This window comes from Homo sapiens, chromosome 13, assembly GCF_000001405.40.
Source record: "Homo sapiens chromosome 13, GRCh38.p14 Primary Assembly".
In the NCBI taxonomy this organism is placed as follows: domain Eukaryota; kingdom Metazoa; phylum Chordata; class Mammalia; order Primates; family Hominidae; genus Homo; species Homo sapiens.
Genome location: NC_000013.11, coordinates 71,867,398 through 71,882,276, shown reverse-complemented (window position 1 = coordinate 71,882,276; position 14,879 = coordinate 71,867,398). Strand labels below are relative to the sequence as shown.

At 35.7% G+C, this 14,879-nt stretch overlaps 4 annotated features.

The window, feature by feature from the left end:
• Positions 2,871-3,150: an enhancer, noted in NCBI's record as "active region_7812". NCBI's record gives its function as "activates an Ori minimal core promoter by ATAC-STARR-seq in GM12878 lymphoblastoid cells {active_cell/tissue: GM12878}" and the evidence as "EXISTENCE:reporter gene assay evidence [ECO:0000049][PMID:35858748]".
• Positions 4,566-5,066: an enhancer, noted in NCBI's record as "OCT4-NANOG-H3K27ac hESC enhancer chr13:72451349-72451849 (GRCh37/hg19 assembly coordinates)". NCBI's record gives its function as "activates a minimal SCP1, AML or CMV promoter by ChIP-STARR-seq in primed H9 embryonic stem cells {active_cell/tissue: H9 hESC(primed)}" and the evidence as "EXISTENCE:reporter gene assay evidence [ECO:0000049][PMID:30033119]".
• Positions 5,067-5,567: an enhancer, noted in NCBI's record as "OCT4-NANOG-H3K27ac hESC enhancer chr13:72450848-72451348 (GRCh37/hg19 assembly coordinates)". NCBI's record gives its function as "activates a minimal SCP1, AML or CMV promoter by ChIP-STARR-seq in primed H9 embryonic stem cells {active_cell/tissue: H9 hESC(primed)}" and the evidence as "EXISTENCE:reporter gene assay evidence [ECO:0000049][PMID:30033119]".
• Positions 6,187-6,236: an enhancer, noted in NCBI's record as "active region_7811". NCBI's record gives its function as "activates an Ori minimal core promoter by ATAC-STARR-seq in GM12878 lymphoblastoid cells {active_cell/tissue: GM12878}" and the evidence as "EXISTENCE:reporter gene assay evidence [ECO:0000049][PMID:35858748]".

Sequence of the window (14,879 nt, the reverse complement as noted above, 5' to 3'; positions counted from 1 at the left end):
AATAACAAAATAAATATTAGACCTGGAGAGTATCCAAATACAAAAACAGGAAAGATAAAGTCTCCTAGGTCAGGCTTAGTCCTAATTTGAACTTCATGCTGGAGGTGAAGGAGTACCATTGAAGAGTTTTAGTATATAGACTTCATGACCTATATTCAAGATTTATATTGAAAGTGGTACTCTCAAGCTCCACTATAAATCTGGAAATAATGTGGATGGATGAAGGGAAGGACTGGGAAAGGGAGTCAGCTCAGAGACTCTAGGAACAGTCCAATCAAGAAATGGTGAAAACCTGATGATCTTAAACTTCCCTGTTGCAATAGGAAGAGTGTCAATAGAGAATATACATCTCTCGTTTGAAGAATTGGGTTTAGTATTTAAGAAAGTTTTGGAATTATCACTGAGAGGAAGGAGCGATGGAGCTGATTAAGGACACATAAAAAGATGGTTGAATGGCTCTCCACTCATATAGGAGATCATACATTCTTCCTGATTGTATAGTATTCTTCCTGGTGTCTGGTGACTTGTCCATCTAGCACTTCTCACTCTTTCACCTGGAAAAGTCTTTTCCTTCCGAAAAATTTCTGTCTCCCATGCTAGGAATCTCCCTCAAATTTGAGCTTCAATGCTGTTTAATTACTCTGCCCCAGTGGTCGCACTGATTGAGCTGAGTGGAGCATCTGCCCCAAGCTGAACCAATCCTAAGGCCTAAATGATCACTGATAACTAACATATTCAGAACTAGTCATTATTCTAAGTTCTGCATAGTAATTCATTTAATCATCATAGCGATGCAATGAAGTAGGTACAATTATCATTTCCTTTTATTCATATAAGAAAATTCAGGCACTGGGATGTAAACTTGTCCCAAGTCACAAATAGACCAGGTTTTACATTCCAGGAATCTGGTTTCACATTCCACACATTCTTAACCACTACCCGATAATGCCCTTGATCAGTTTCTTCATCCAGAAATATGCACCTCTTCCAAGATGACCCAATAAGAATTCTTCCTTGGATTTGTGTCTTTGGGTGCTGGAGTTAGAAGCAGTGTGCATGATTGCTTCTAGAAACTATGAATCCAGTTGTTTAGAACCCAAACTGAGGAACTGAAGAAGACACCTTGACAAACGTGTCTTCAGAAATCAGAGATGATATGAGGAGACGTTTGAATCTCTGGTCAAAGTTATCCCTGAGACCAACTGAAGCCGTGACTTCTATTGATGTGATGATGTGAGCTGATTCAGACCCTTTCTAGATGAACTGGCTTAAATTTTAAAGCTTGCAACTAAGAGTCATGAGTAATCAAGGATACAATTCTGCATAACTGTGGGAGAGTGTTTAGCAATGCTCAGTCATCCAGTGGGATGGCAGATAGCTGTTACTGCTGGCTGGGAATTCACCAGGCAGTTGTGTTAGGAAGACAGGAGCGCAAATAAGTTGAACATGTGAAAAATAATCAGGTGAGAAAATAAGTGAGGACAGAAGGGAGTGGTATCCTTGGGGAAAAGAAAGCAGACTGTGGAGTAGGCTTGGGCAAGTAATTTAATCAGCCAAACTTTAGATGCCTCATTTTCTTACTGGGATAAGACAAATTGCCTATCTTTCTTATGTATTACGAGGATTAGATGAGATAATCCATATAAACTATCTAGCACAGTGCTCACACAGTGCTTGGTACATAGTAATCCATAATATAGTTGTTGTTGAGATTAAGTGGCCAATGGTATGGGAAAATGGATTCGCAGAGAAGGGGATGTTTGAGCGATACTGAGGATCAATGAAGTCAGTTAGATAAGAGGATGCAAATAATCTCCCTTCTCTTATGCCTCCATGCCTACTTGTTCATCCCCTAACTTGCAATACAGGTGATACTAGACTCTCCTACACACATTCCATAGAGGCTAAAGTCATAGTTTAAATAATGCACATAGATGATCTCAGTGATAAAATCTAAGTAATATACAAAGTTAATAAAGACAAAAAAATCCAAAACACTGTTAAGCATTTCTATTTTACGTTTTTCTTTGCAACCAACATAGTTAATTATTAAAACATTAATATAAATGTAATTGCATCATCAGTGATGAAATCTCTCTCCTGCCTGTAACAAATGCGATATCAGCTTGTACTTTGCAATAAGTGATGAAGAAACTTCCAGATGGAGAGGTTTAATTTGTGAGATTCTCCCTAGTCTATTCGCATTGGCTTTAACTTTCATTTTAAATTACAGAGAGAATTCCCAAAATTTCAAATAGCCCCAAGAGATCTGGTGAAATAGCTAATCTCTTTCTACGAGCATGCTAACAAAAGCAATTTCTTACGGAGCTATGTGCTACCCAGTGGGACTGATAATGAATCTGCATTATGGTAACCTTTATAGGAAGGGAAGATAAGAAGACCTTTTGGGGAGGTGTATTTATTAGGTGGTGAATGTGTCTCTCCGCATGTGGATTTTTCTGTTTAGATCCATTTTTCACTCAACTATGCCAAGACCTTCTATCTTTCAGTTTTTGGAACACCTCTGAATTTATACAGCCGATTCTATTACATATCACAGTGTCACAGTGTCAATAAATATCAAACACCAACATGCTGTATAGCTTGCTCACTGTTCCATTGCTCTCATTTTGAAAAAGCAACCACATTTACATAGATCATTGTGGGCTTTATACTAATTTCCCCCTAAGATTTATAGAGTTCAAGCTTCTGCTCACACAGAGTTCTGTGATTATTTATTTATTTGTTTATTTATAAATTGGAGGTAGGGGAGCAGAACTTGCCTGTTGTCACCCAAATATAAAAAAGCGGCATTTACTGGGAGTCTCCTACAGAGGGCACCTTCACCTTATTGGAAACCCAACGGAAAGAGAAACTCAGTGGTTACCAGAATAGTAACTAAACCTTAAAGGCAGAAGCACACGCTTGCTTTGCTAACCAGTTTTCTTCTCTATGGTATCTTTGTTACCTTATCTTTAATGGAAAAGAGCTGGCACCCTTTGTATAATCATTCATAGATTCAGGCCAGTAACACTACCTTATTATTATGTTCAGCTTGCTTGTGGGTGAGCTGGAGACAGCTGTTCATATTGCCTAAGAGGCAACAGATCAATGAAAGGAAGGGAAGGACAAGTTTTGAGCTGCCTTTTTGCAACAATGTCCTTTATACAACAGAGGATATTTTTAAAGCATTGTATTGGAAAACAAAGGCTGATAATAAAGTATAATGTTTACATAACAAACCTTTGCTGTGTTGTTATGATTAGCAAGTGCTTTTAGACTAAAACTACTTAAATGGAAACAAAAAATATATATTTTTGGATAAAAAAAATGCCATGCATTATAGACTATAAATCTAAGAAAGTAATTGCTATTTAGAAAATTCTGAAAATAGGCATGTGTGAGCAAGTATGTGTGTGTACAAGTAGTGTGTTTCTGAGTGTGTGTGTGTGGCATAGAAAGCAATTCCTTGAAACTGTTTCTTTGTAGCTAAATTATTAAAAGATATTTTGTGATCATATTTTTAAAATAAGAGACTATACTCTAAAAAATATAAGTACATATTCATAGAAATTATTCTTTAAAATTTTTTTCAATATAAATTAAGTGCCATATACATTTAGAGGGCTTGACATATAACATTAATCTGATGTTGATTTTTGAATGTCTTATGTTTTATAATAGCTAATAATATTAATATACATAAACTCAAGATGTGTAAACAACACTTTATGTATTTACCTTTGACAATTCCTGATTAGGGGGCTTCCTGTGGAAATTCAACAAGTAGTAGTCAGATTTACTAGAAGAATATTTTGAAATTTTGCCTAAGAAAACTTATCAAAATACTGATGATGATTATTCCTGAATGTTAAGGTTAAAAGAAACATACAAGACATAAGTTTGTCTCTTTACATTTGCATACAAAATACTATTTGTTTAGTTGCTGAATGTACCATCTAATACCTATTATATTTACAATGAAGCTCATCAATTATAGATTAATTATATATTTAATTATATATTTATATTTACTATATTTATATATAATATAATATAAATATATATTATATATTATATATTATATGTAATATAATATAAATATATATATTTATAGCTATAATTTATATATATAATATAAATTATAGATATATATCTATAATTAGATATAGATATAGATATAAATTACAGATATAGATATAATTATAGATATATATAATTATAGATATATATAAATAATAGATATAACATAAATATATAAATTATATTAATTATATAAATAGAATTTCATATTCGGTGCTTAGAAGTAATTTAACTACCAATTGCTACTATAGGCATAAAACATTTGGGTACATTTCTGCTTTCTTTTAAGTTTAGCTTGAAATATACTACAATTAAGTATAAGTGCATTTTAGCTACTGAAATTAGTTTGACCTTACATCTTTTTTAATGCTTTAAGAAGTCAAGGCCTACAGCTTCCTATTAGGACCAAATGTTCAGATTATTGGAAATTTAGTTCTTCTTTAGTAATCACAATTATTAATTTGTCAACCAAATCACTTGCATAAAAACATAACAGAGAACAGCCTGGTAAGCATGTATTTAAATTTATGCTAATGCTATTATCAATGTGTTTCAAAAATCAGTTAAATTAGTTTCTGTGGGAAAAAGACCCATTTTCTAGTTCAGCTGAGTTTGTTGCCTTGTCTGAGAAAATGCCTAGAAATGCTGCATCCACCTGCCCATGCATTCCCGCCTCATTGTTGACATTTCCCGGTGTTTAGTGGTTTCTACCACTTTGTTGCATTCCAGAGCTCGAGGCACTTCTTTGAAGATGCAAGGCCATTCAAGTCTTCCTTACTTTGCAGCTTCACTCTAAAGGGAGAGTAAATGAACAAGCCACGCAGTTCAGACAATTTAAATGTGGCAGCAGGAGGGCATGCGATTGCTCTGTTAGGAAGAGCTGTGAGTGATCCCTGAATCATCTGGGAAACAAGTAGAAAGTGACCTTTCTTGAAATCAGGATGAAAAAAGATCGGAGAAAGAGGCTGAATAGTCCCATATGGAAAGCAGACTGAGGTTGGTAAGAGACTATAGAAAAGTGTTTATGGAATCAACTGCTGGCTCAATTGCTGGCTCATTGCCTGATTTTGCAGCACACTCCAACAGGTAGGTGATTTTTACTGGTGGATGCTGCCATTTTCTAACCAGAGGAAACCAGATCACGAAAGTCAAAGAACCACAAGGCTTTGTGCAGTTTGACTTTCTAACATCACATACAAGTGAAGTATTTCTCAAGATCTCAAAAGGTCTTGTCCCTGAAATAACAGTTGCACAAGTTTTTTGTTTGTTTGCTTCCTTCATCCCCATTATGTTGCACTGTAGCATATCAGTGCATTCATCTAAGTAGCCACTGAGAACACATCAGTAGCTCTATTATTTGAGCACTCTGAGATCTGTTATACAGAAATAGAAACAGAGAATCATGAGTTTAGACCCAACTGTGCCTCTCTATTATTTTTTCAATTCTCTTACATATGAAATGAAATAAAAATATTTCCCCCTTTTACCTCAGAAAGTTTTTTTTTGAGGGTAGTTGGGAGAATAAATCAATGAGGACTTGATTTTAAACCAATACCTGACTTAAGCCTTAACTAGCTGTGAGTACAAAGGGACATTCTCATATACTGCTAATTGTCAATTTTCTCTTTTGCAAGATCAGGAGTGATATATAGGGATGAATCTGTTGAGCTCACAGTGAGAGGCAGACTACAGTTCTATCCTGACAGTGTTACTGAGATTGCCTCAGATCTTGAGGGGAAGGATCGGAAAGCCATTTGTGATGTCTGACATGGTCACAGGGGAAATGGTAGCATGAGATCTGCAATGTTAGGATTAGATGATCTTCCAGGCTCCACTAACACAAAATTTCAATGATGTTATGGTAATAAGACTCAACAGAAATAATGTACAGTAAAGGCTGATAGGGACGAATGTCTTTTTCTCCTTTGCATCCTCAGCAACTAGCATATGGTCGGTGCACAAAAATAAGTATGCTTTATATAACAGAGACTGCTATGTACGTTAAAGTGATGGTGATGTTATAGTAAACAACTTTACAAATTGTTGCACATATGCACGCTTACTCACATTTGGTAGGTAGAATTTCACACACGAATCTACTTTTCTTCCTCCTCTGCAGTAGCACTTCAAGATGTACTCTCACTTATATTTTCAGTCTTGGTGAAGACTCTCTAATGGCTCCTCTGATGACTAAGAAAAGAAGATTCTTTTCTAAATGGGTCCCAAATACAAGCCATAGTTACAGGCCTACGATTCTTTTCTCCAGCTATTTCAGACCCAGTTTCTTAGCATTTCGGATTTTTTGCCCTAAGAAGTGTCCTAAATTCATTGTATATTAGGACAGAATTGAATGAGCATATCTAAAATTTTGCTACTTATCAATATCTTGTTCTGAATCAAACAATATATCATTTGGAGAAGGAGCATTTTATGTAATTTGGGGGCAAAGAAAATGGATCGCATAGCATACTAGCAGTTTTTAATTACCCAGCTAACATTTACTGGGCACCCCACAAGCCCTAATCATTATAGTGGATATCAAAAGCAGTAGAAATGACTTGAGACCACCTGAAGAGAAACATATCAACAAGTGTAAACACATAAGATAATTGTCTCTCCCATCAGAATGCAGTGTGAAAATTATTACAACACACAGGAATAAATCAGCAAAGATTCCTGGATGTGTGGCATCTTGAGCCAATCAGTGAATTATAAATTCTGACTTAGTCAGGAATAGTCATTTTATTTAGTTTCTTCTCCAAATATGAAAGAATATATTATGAAGACATGCTGGATGTGTGAATGAACGGAACTCCGGTTCAAAAACTAAAATGACTTTAAAGCATATGGGAAAAGCATGTGCCTGAAGATGACAGTATTGAAACCTCTCCCCAAAGGAGGTATACTAAGAGCTGGCACTTGGATTGTGCTAAGCAAGAATAAAGAAGTCTGTAAAGAATTCTTAGGAAGTACTTTTTTATATAATTATCCCAGCCTTCTCCTGAAAACTGGAGGAGTGAGGGGTTGATCTGGGAAAATCTATTCAAGTAAAATACTAACACCAACAATTTAGAGCCTGGCATGAATGTTAGCAGTAGACGGTTGCATTACTATTTGTACAGATTATTTTAAAAACAGCTAATTTCTTAGTTTCACATGGGCCAGGTGCATTCTCAGAGCCATTGTGTCTTTTTCCATTTCATTGTTTTAAAACTGCACCTTTTTTTCAAGATTTAACCTTTGCTAAAGCATAGGGCTAAGACACAATCACAACAAAACACCTCCCCCTTAAAACCAGTACTTCAGAGCCCTGTTAAATCAAAAGAAAAATTCTTTCTCTCCTCCCCAGTCCCACAGCCCTCAGGATTTTAAATGGTAATGATCAGTTCATTTGAGAAAATGGCATTTTAGTGCTTCCCTTCACAAGCTCTTAAGGCGTATAAGGTGTCTCTTTCCCAGTGATGTGTACCTCCTTTTGTTTTCTAGCATTACTGGAACTGACCTGGCATGGATCACTGGGTGAGCAGGCAATCTTAAACACTTCTCATATAAATTACTGGTTCCTTTCCAAGTGCAATTGCTCACAGGGTAATACACCATTTTACAACTCTGATAGCAAAGTCTCTTCGTTCTACTGAGTTCCACACCCCCCACTAATCCCACCATCAGGAAATGTACAGACAAAAAGACTGATGGAGATGTGAACCTCAGAAATGTAAACTCTTGGTTCAACTTCCAGTATGTACATAGTGGACAATTTGGAATCCTTCAGTTCTTCTCTTCCCTTCTTGAATTCCTGTCAAATATTCTTTTCTTGGTTTAAAAGCCACCAATGAAAACAAAAATATCAAAATAACATACTTCACATATGTAGAAACTAAAAAAAGTGAGCACTAATGAATATGGACAGCTATTAAAATATATTTTTAAAAACTTTCCAGAGAAGAAAATAATGCTCACATTTTATGATTTATGTTTATTAGATAGAAATGACACACTGTGCTTCCATGCAAATGAAGCTCATGTTAAATGAGCACTCCTAGATGCACTGGATGCTAATGATGGCCACATTTTCCAAACCAATGTCTTTTTTCCCATAAACTATAATGACAAGGTGTGTTTTTACTGACAGTTGACTTGGATCAGAGCATGCAGTATTGTATTTCAGGTTGTGGCTTTGTAAAACCCTGTAACTTTCTTTGAAGTTAAACAGTGTCAGTCTGTTTCCATGTCTGAATAACTCTTAGAAGAGCCTGCCTGACCCAAGTCAACTCCTTGAAACATACTATTTCCCCATAATTGATGTTCCAAATGAATGTCCTTTCATAATAAAATGTGCTGGAAAACAAAACAGCTTTGCATCCGGCACAAGTTGCATCATAATTAAATTTTATTTTATCCCATCGAGGCATGCTAAATGTTGAGCAAAATATAATTTTAAGTAATTTGTTTGTATTCTTATCTGTAGGAGTTGGAAATTAACAGCATTGCTAGTTTGCGTTTACTGTTAAGCCTGGAGAGCAGAGAGATTGCTTTGCAAACATTACAGTTATTATGTCTGCAGTTGGTACTCTTTGTATAAATTATTGATCAGCCAGCTTATTTTTCTTTCTGCTTAATGGATATTATAGCATAGCCGTTTACAACGCTATAGTTAAGGTTGTGTCAGCACTTCCATTATAATAAACCCTCTGTTACAGGGGTTTATAACTTGTTGTAAAAATTTGCTCTGGGCTGAAACTTGACATACAAGATCTCAGGCTAGAAGGTGGCAATTGTTCTTCTTTCAACTTTTTAAAAAATCTCTTTGTTCTGGAAGGCAATAAATAAATAAACACTTTATTCTTTTCTAACAATCCATGAAATTTCTGACTTCAAATAAAACAATTTTTATAGGCTATTTGTTGGACAATGTCCTCTTCTTTTGAGCATAGAGAAAGAAAAAGGACCAAGATAATAAGTTAAAACAACAAAGCATATAGAAAATCAACAGAAACTTTTATAATGAAGTAAAATACATTTCTCCTAAGGCTGAAAAACTACAGAGTAATTTATGCTTCAATATCAAACATATTTTTATGCTATAACAGATTATACGTCCTCTCCCCACTCTCAACTATGTCTCTTGAGCAATTCATATGCCTTCATGCTGATCTTCTTTAGAGGAAAGCGAGTGTTGGGTTATTTAAAGAGAAAAGAATATGACAATTAGAAAATGCCATATATTAAAAGGTACAGTTACAAGTACAATATTTATTACAAAACTAGGGATTTAAATATCTGTCTGACTTTTTGACCTTATTTCAGTCAAGTGCACCATTCCTCTCACAATGACCTGATTTAAGAGATGAAGGGGATTAATCTCAATTTATATTATTCTTGTTGCTGCTTCCTTTTACAATCTGACTCTACAATGATCTCAATGTATTTATTTTTTTTAATTGAACAGTAGGCTGGGCAGCCCTTAATACCAACCTACAGATGAAATTAAGGACACTTAACTGGAAGTAAGTAGTGATAGAAAAGGATAACTACATTATCATGGAAAGTTGACCATGTGTCATAGAAGCGATGCAGTTTGAAATGAGGGAAGCAATTCCAGGATGAATTTTTTTTTGTGTGTAACTATTCTTCTTGCCACTACCTTCTCTCTTCAATCTGAGTTTAGAGATTTCTGAGAATATACCCCATGACCAGTGGAGTATTTTTTGCCATATGTCACCTTCATCCTGAACCAGGAGAAAAGGTGATGAGGATGGGTTAGGGAGGGACTAACAGTGGTGCCAAATGGCACCATTTGTCTATGGGAACTATGTAAGGTGAATGTGAATAGACAATTACAATGCATTCAGTAAGCATATATACACAGTCCACGCATTTCCATGGTGTAAAGCAGAGCAGAACTATTTATAACCATTTTAACCACTTCTTTATTAAGAATGAAAGTTGGCAATATAAAGTTGAGTGCTTCAAGTTATGATCTGTTCTCCTTCAGCTCCCTACCTTTTGTCCTTTGGGTAATTCATCACCAAGCTCTCTGTGCTTGATTAGAGAATGCATCCTTAAGTCTTATATTGTTCTTGAGGAGAAGGAGGGCAGTGGAAAAGAGAGGGAAGGTATGGAAGTAAGAGTCATCAAAAGTCAGAAGTTGGAAGGAAAAGTGGGGAGACAGAGACTGAAAGTGTAAAAGTAAGGAAGTCTTTGCTTAAGGTAGTTGAGGTTTATCTGCTGAGCTGATTGAGGAGGCAGTGCGTCTGAGTTAAAAAGGCTTGAGAGAGTCACTTGGCATAATTTCTCCATCTTCAATGATTTACTACTGAAGTGCAAACATCAATTTTGGATTCTCTCCTGAGAAACGTTTAACAAAGTCAGTGAACTACTGGTACCCTGATATCTTTTTAGATTTGCCAAACTTTGATAGCTCTTTAATAAACCTATGCTTGAAGTTGATCTTTTTTTTTTTTTCTCCTAAGGAAACAGGTCCATTAGTAAATATGTAGATATAAAAATGATCTTCCTCTTTACCTCTCCATTGTGATATATCTTGGAATTGTTGAGAAATGCACTCTATTGTTAAGGCTATTTGTGCCGGGTGTGCTAATGCACTCTTTGATTGAGTGAATTAGCAGTCATAACAATCTGGCAGTCTGGCCATAGAAGTGTGCTCAAATTGATTTGTGTTATGGCTGGACTGGAAAATCTAGTGTTAGTTGTTTTTTGCCCTGGGGCATTGTTTGTACCAAACTCCACTTTTCATTTAATTTTCCAATACATTTTGAAAGATTGAAATGCTTGTGATCAACATTTGATCTACTTGCATTATTTAAAAAAAAATCTGAAAGTAATTTCAGATTCCAAAAAACCCTGCTTTCAATTAGAGTAAACATAATTAGAGTGACGTCGTGCTTAGAATGGTAAATCTCCTTTTGAATCTATTAAGCATTTTATCTCCTTGTCCTGTCACTGAAAGGGATTCATTCTATATCTGGAATATGCATCTGTATGTTTTTGTGTATGTCTCTAAGAGAACTTGGGAAAAAATTAAAATAATAAAATTGCAATGAATCTTTTCTTCTTGTCATTTCTGCATATGCCCAAATTGTTTCCGTTTCACTTAGTGATGCTATAGAAAGAGGATACTCAAAGCTTTTAGGAAAATTTGAGATATTCAAGAAATACATTCAGATATATATTGCCTTTAAGTTACTCCATCATTTTAGTTTTTTATATGCTATGAAATATGCATTTCCCTTTTTTCAAATAATGATATCAATTATATTGAAACTCTGAAGGTTTAAAGACATGACTTATCCTGGCTTTGTCAATATTTGTATCTTTCTTACAATCTTCTGCTTTGCAGTCATTTACCAGAATTATAATGCAGCATGAATAAACCTAAAAAATGACTATTGATTACAGAGAAAGCTTTGTGAAATGATTTAGTCAGTTTCCCCACTTGAGAAATCAGTGAATAAAATAGGTCAATAGATAAGAATGGAATGGATGTAATACAGTGCTGTGTTTCCCTGGGTTATAAAAAGGGTCAGAAATAAATCCCCATAGAATTCATGTTTTCATACTCATAAAATAAAATGATACTTACCAAATCCCAACTCTATGTCCATCTTTCTACAGATTTATTCTTTTTTAAACCACAGGTTTTGTAAGTATGTTTTTATGTGTCCCTGTTTCATTTCCCTGTCACTGCCCCTTTTAACCAAATAGGATGCCCTCATCATCGGGCTAAAGTGCCTGTTGTCATCCAGGTATTCAGCGGGACTTTAGCTGCAACAGCTACTTTGTATTTTCTTACTGTCTCTTGCAACCTTACAGCTCTTCTCAAAACTGCATTTCATACTGTACTGAACTCTGCATCCTGTGCCGATTTTTGTTAAGTAACAGATAGCAAGACCTGAGACCACTCTCTCTGTTAGTTCCCATTCGTAGGGATCTCATTGTCGGGCGGGGGGTGGGGGGGGTTGTGGGGGAAGGGAGGACGGGAAAAAGGGAGGGGAGGGGCCAGAAGGGGGCAGAGGGAGGGAAGAAAATACCTTCCCTGAACTGGTACAAGCTAAGCTTCAAACGATATCCTAGGAAAGAAATTAAAGACTTCTTAATTAGTGCAGCAATTAAGCTTTCTTGGTAGCATTTTAATCAGCACAGGCCCTATCAAAGGACAAACAGAACGATTTGCAGGTCTTTGAATTTTAAACAGTCTTATTGATTTCAGCACAATACGTCTTCACAAAACACAGGGAGAATTTTCTAATATCAGTTACAGTACTTTGAGTTTTGCTTATGCAAATTGAGTGAAGGTTGGGGAAGATGAGATGGAGAGGACCTGAAACAAGCGGAGATGTAAAACAATAAACAAGCAAGACAAAAGCTCTAAAAGCTAAAGATGCAATGGAGTGAGAATTCAAAATCTCTAAGTTGATTTATCTGTTGTTGTTAAATAACTGTTTGCCTTACTCATTGGCAACATTTCTCAAAAAGAAAGAAAGAAAAAGAAAAAAAAAGGAAAGAAAAAAGAGATAAAACCTTCAAAATTTTCAAGGCTTTTATTTCCTACATATTTTAATTTGTGCTATATGCCTTTTCTAATCCTATTGTTTGATTGAAGGGGTAAGTGGTGGTTCCCTGAACTGATTTTGAGACCTGAGGTCAGGAGAAGGAAGGCTGGAGAGCTCTTATTCAGGTGGGGGCAAATGTCTCTCAGCCCTGCTTCTGAGTGGAGCACGTGCTCGGAGGCAAAGGTTTCCCTGCAGTAGAAAATTTGGAGTTTGCTTCGAAGCAAGGTGGGATTATGGCTTGGGCTGCTATCATTACCTCCTGTCTGTAGCTTCCGAATGTGTCAGGTATTGGGTGAGTGATAGTTTAAGGAAATGTAAAAAATGAGAATGGTAATGGCAGATGCTCGGCATTTAATTCCCATTCTTCCATTTGTGGGTCTAGAACTTAAAATAATGAGACTATAGTTTAGTCTTTTAAAACCATATCAAAATTTATTAAAGTTAGGCATAGAATTCGAAAATAAAATTAGCTTTTCAGGGCTTAATACTTTCTTCCTCCCCTCCCCTCATTATAATAGTAGTTTGGTATGTCTTAAAAAAGTAATATTTTCTAAAACATGCAAAAATACTTAAGGAAGTGTTTTGATGTATGTGATATATATTGAATTCCTACTTTTACCCATAACAAATTTGAAGACTGAAACATAAATAAAAATTATTTCTGAATGTATTACAATACATTGGTTAACCAGGCCAAACAACTGTTTAAACTTTAGTTGTCCTTGCAGAAGTTCATGGACTTTTCTGCAACAATCGATTTTCTGAATTCTTATCTCCCAGGAAAGCCTCCTGATTTAACTGCTATGTCCCAAAAATTTTAGTATAATCATACACTAATTAGTCCATAGTGTCATATTTCTATTTTTCGGTAGACAGTTCCTGCACTATTTGACACTGCGATTCACAGAGTTCAAAGGCTTAAAATGATATAGAGAAATGTGATCATTTCAACACCAGAATGGCAAAAATTTTATTATAAAATTTCCCAACCCTGTGAACCTGCTACTAACAGTTTATTTTAAAAATCTGTCAAATGCTAAAGCATTGCTTCATATCTTATGAACTTACTGAACATGTGTGGACCGGTTCAAAGGCTAACTAATTGAAGATACTTGGAGACATGAGCAGCAAATAGATTTGACCCATATTCAAATGATATGTTAGTCAAAAATCCTTGAATAAATACTTCAGTGCAACAAGTTAGAAAAGAAAAGAAAAGGAAAGAGGAAGGAAAGGAGGAATAGAGTCAGTCTAAACTCAGCCTCATGTTGTTTTAAGCACAGCTACCCAAGTCTTTACAAGTCAACTAGTGAGCTTTGTTTTTGTTCTTCCCATTATTTACAAAACATATATTTACTGACAAATTGAAAAGGACTTTCCAAAACTACAGCAGCACTTTTCAAACATGAAAAAAAAAAAAAAAAAACTATTGTGTTGTCCAAAAAACACATTAGCAATTGGCTTTGGGTCTTAAAGGACATGAGGATAGTTGGTTACTGTGTAAGACAGGTGAATTAATTATAGAGTTTTGGGTAAGAAAACCCTTTTTCCACTTTCTAAATCTTCAAGGATACCTTATCTCCTTGATAGCTCTAGGTTTAACAGGTATTTCTGACTGGCTTTTGGGGAGACAGTGAAGTTATTCTAAATCATCCACATCAAGGCAAGCATTTCTTTCCACAACCTATTAGGAAATATGGAATTGAATACAGAGCTTTCCATTATTCTTAAGCGATTTCGGACTGACTTTCTTCTCACCACTTGAAAACTGTCCTGGAATTTTCACTATCTTTATATAAATAAATAATTTAGTAGAGAAATAAACAATCAGATGCAAAAGAACATTACGCTTTGCTTACATGTGAATTTTCCTCAAAATAATTTCTGAATAATCGTGAAGTGGGGGCTGTGTTTTCGTTTCTAGCTCATTGCCAAAACGCGTGGAGATGGATCCTAAATCCTGGAAGGAGAGAGCTCGGCGCGCTCAGGCTCCTCTTTAAGTTGGCGGGCGATTGTTTAGAAGCTTTGGAAAAAATTACCAGTCCCCGCGGACGAAATGGAATGTGAGACATGCAATCTAACGGTAGTAGTAGAAGAGAAGTAGATGATCTCCCTCTCCTTTTCCGATCGCCACTTCTGTGTCCCCGGCTTTTCCTCTCCGTCCCTCCCACAGTTTCTTTCCGTATCCTCCCCCTCCCCTCCTCCTTTCCTCGCACGCTCCCT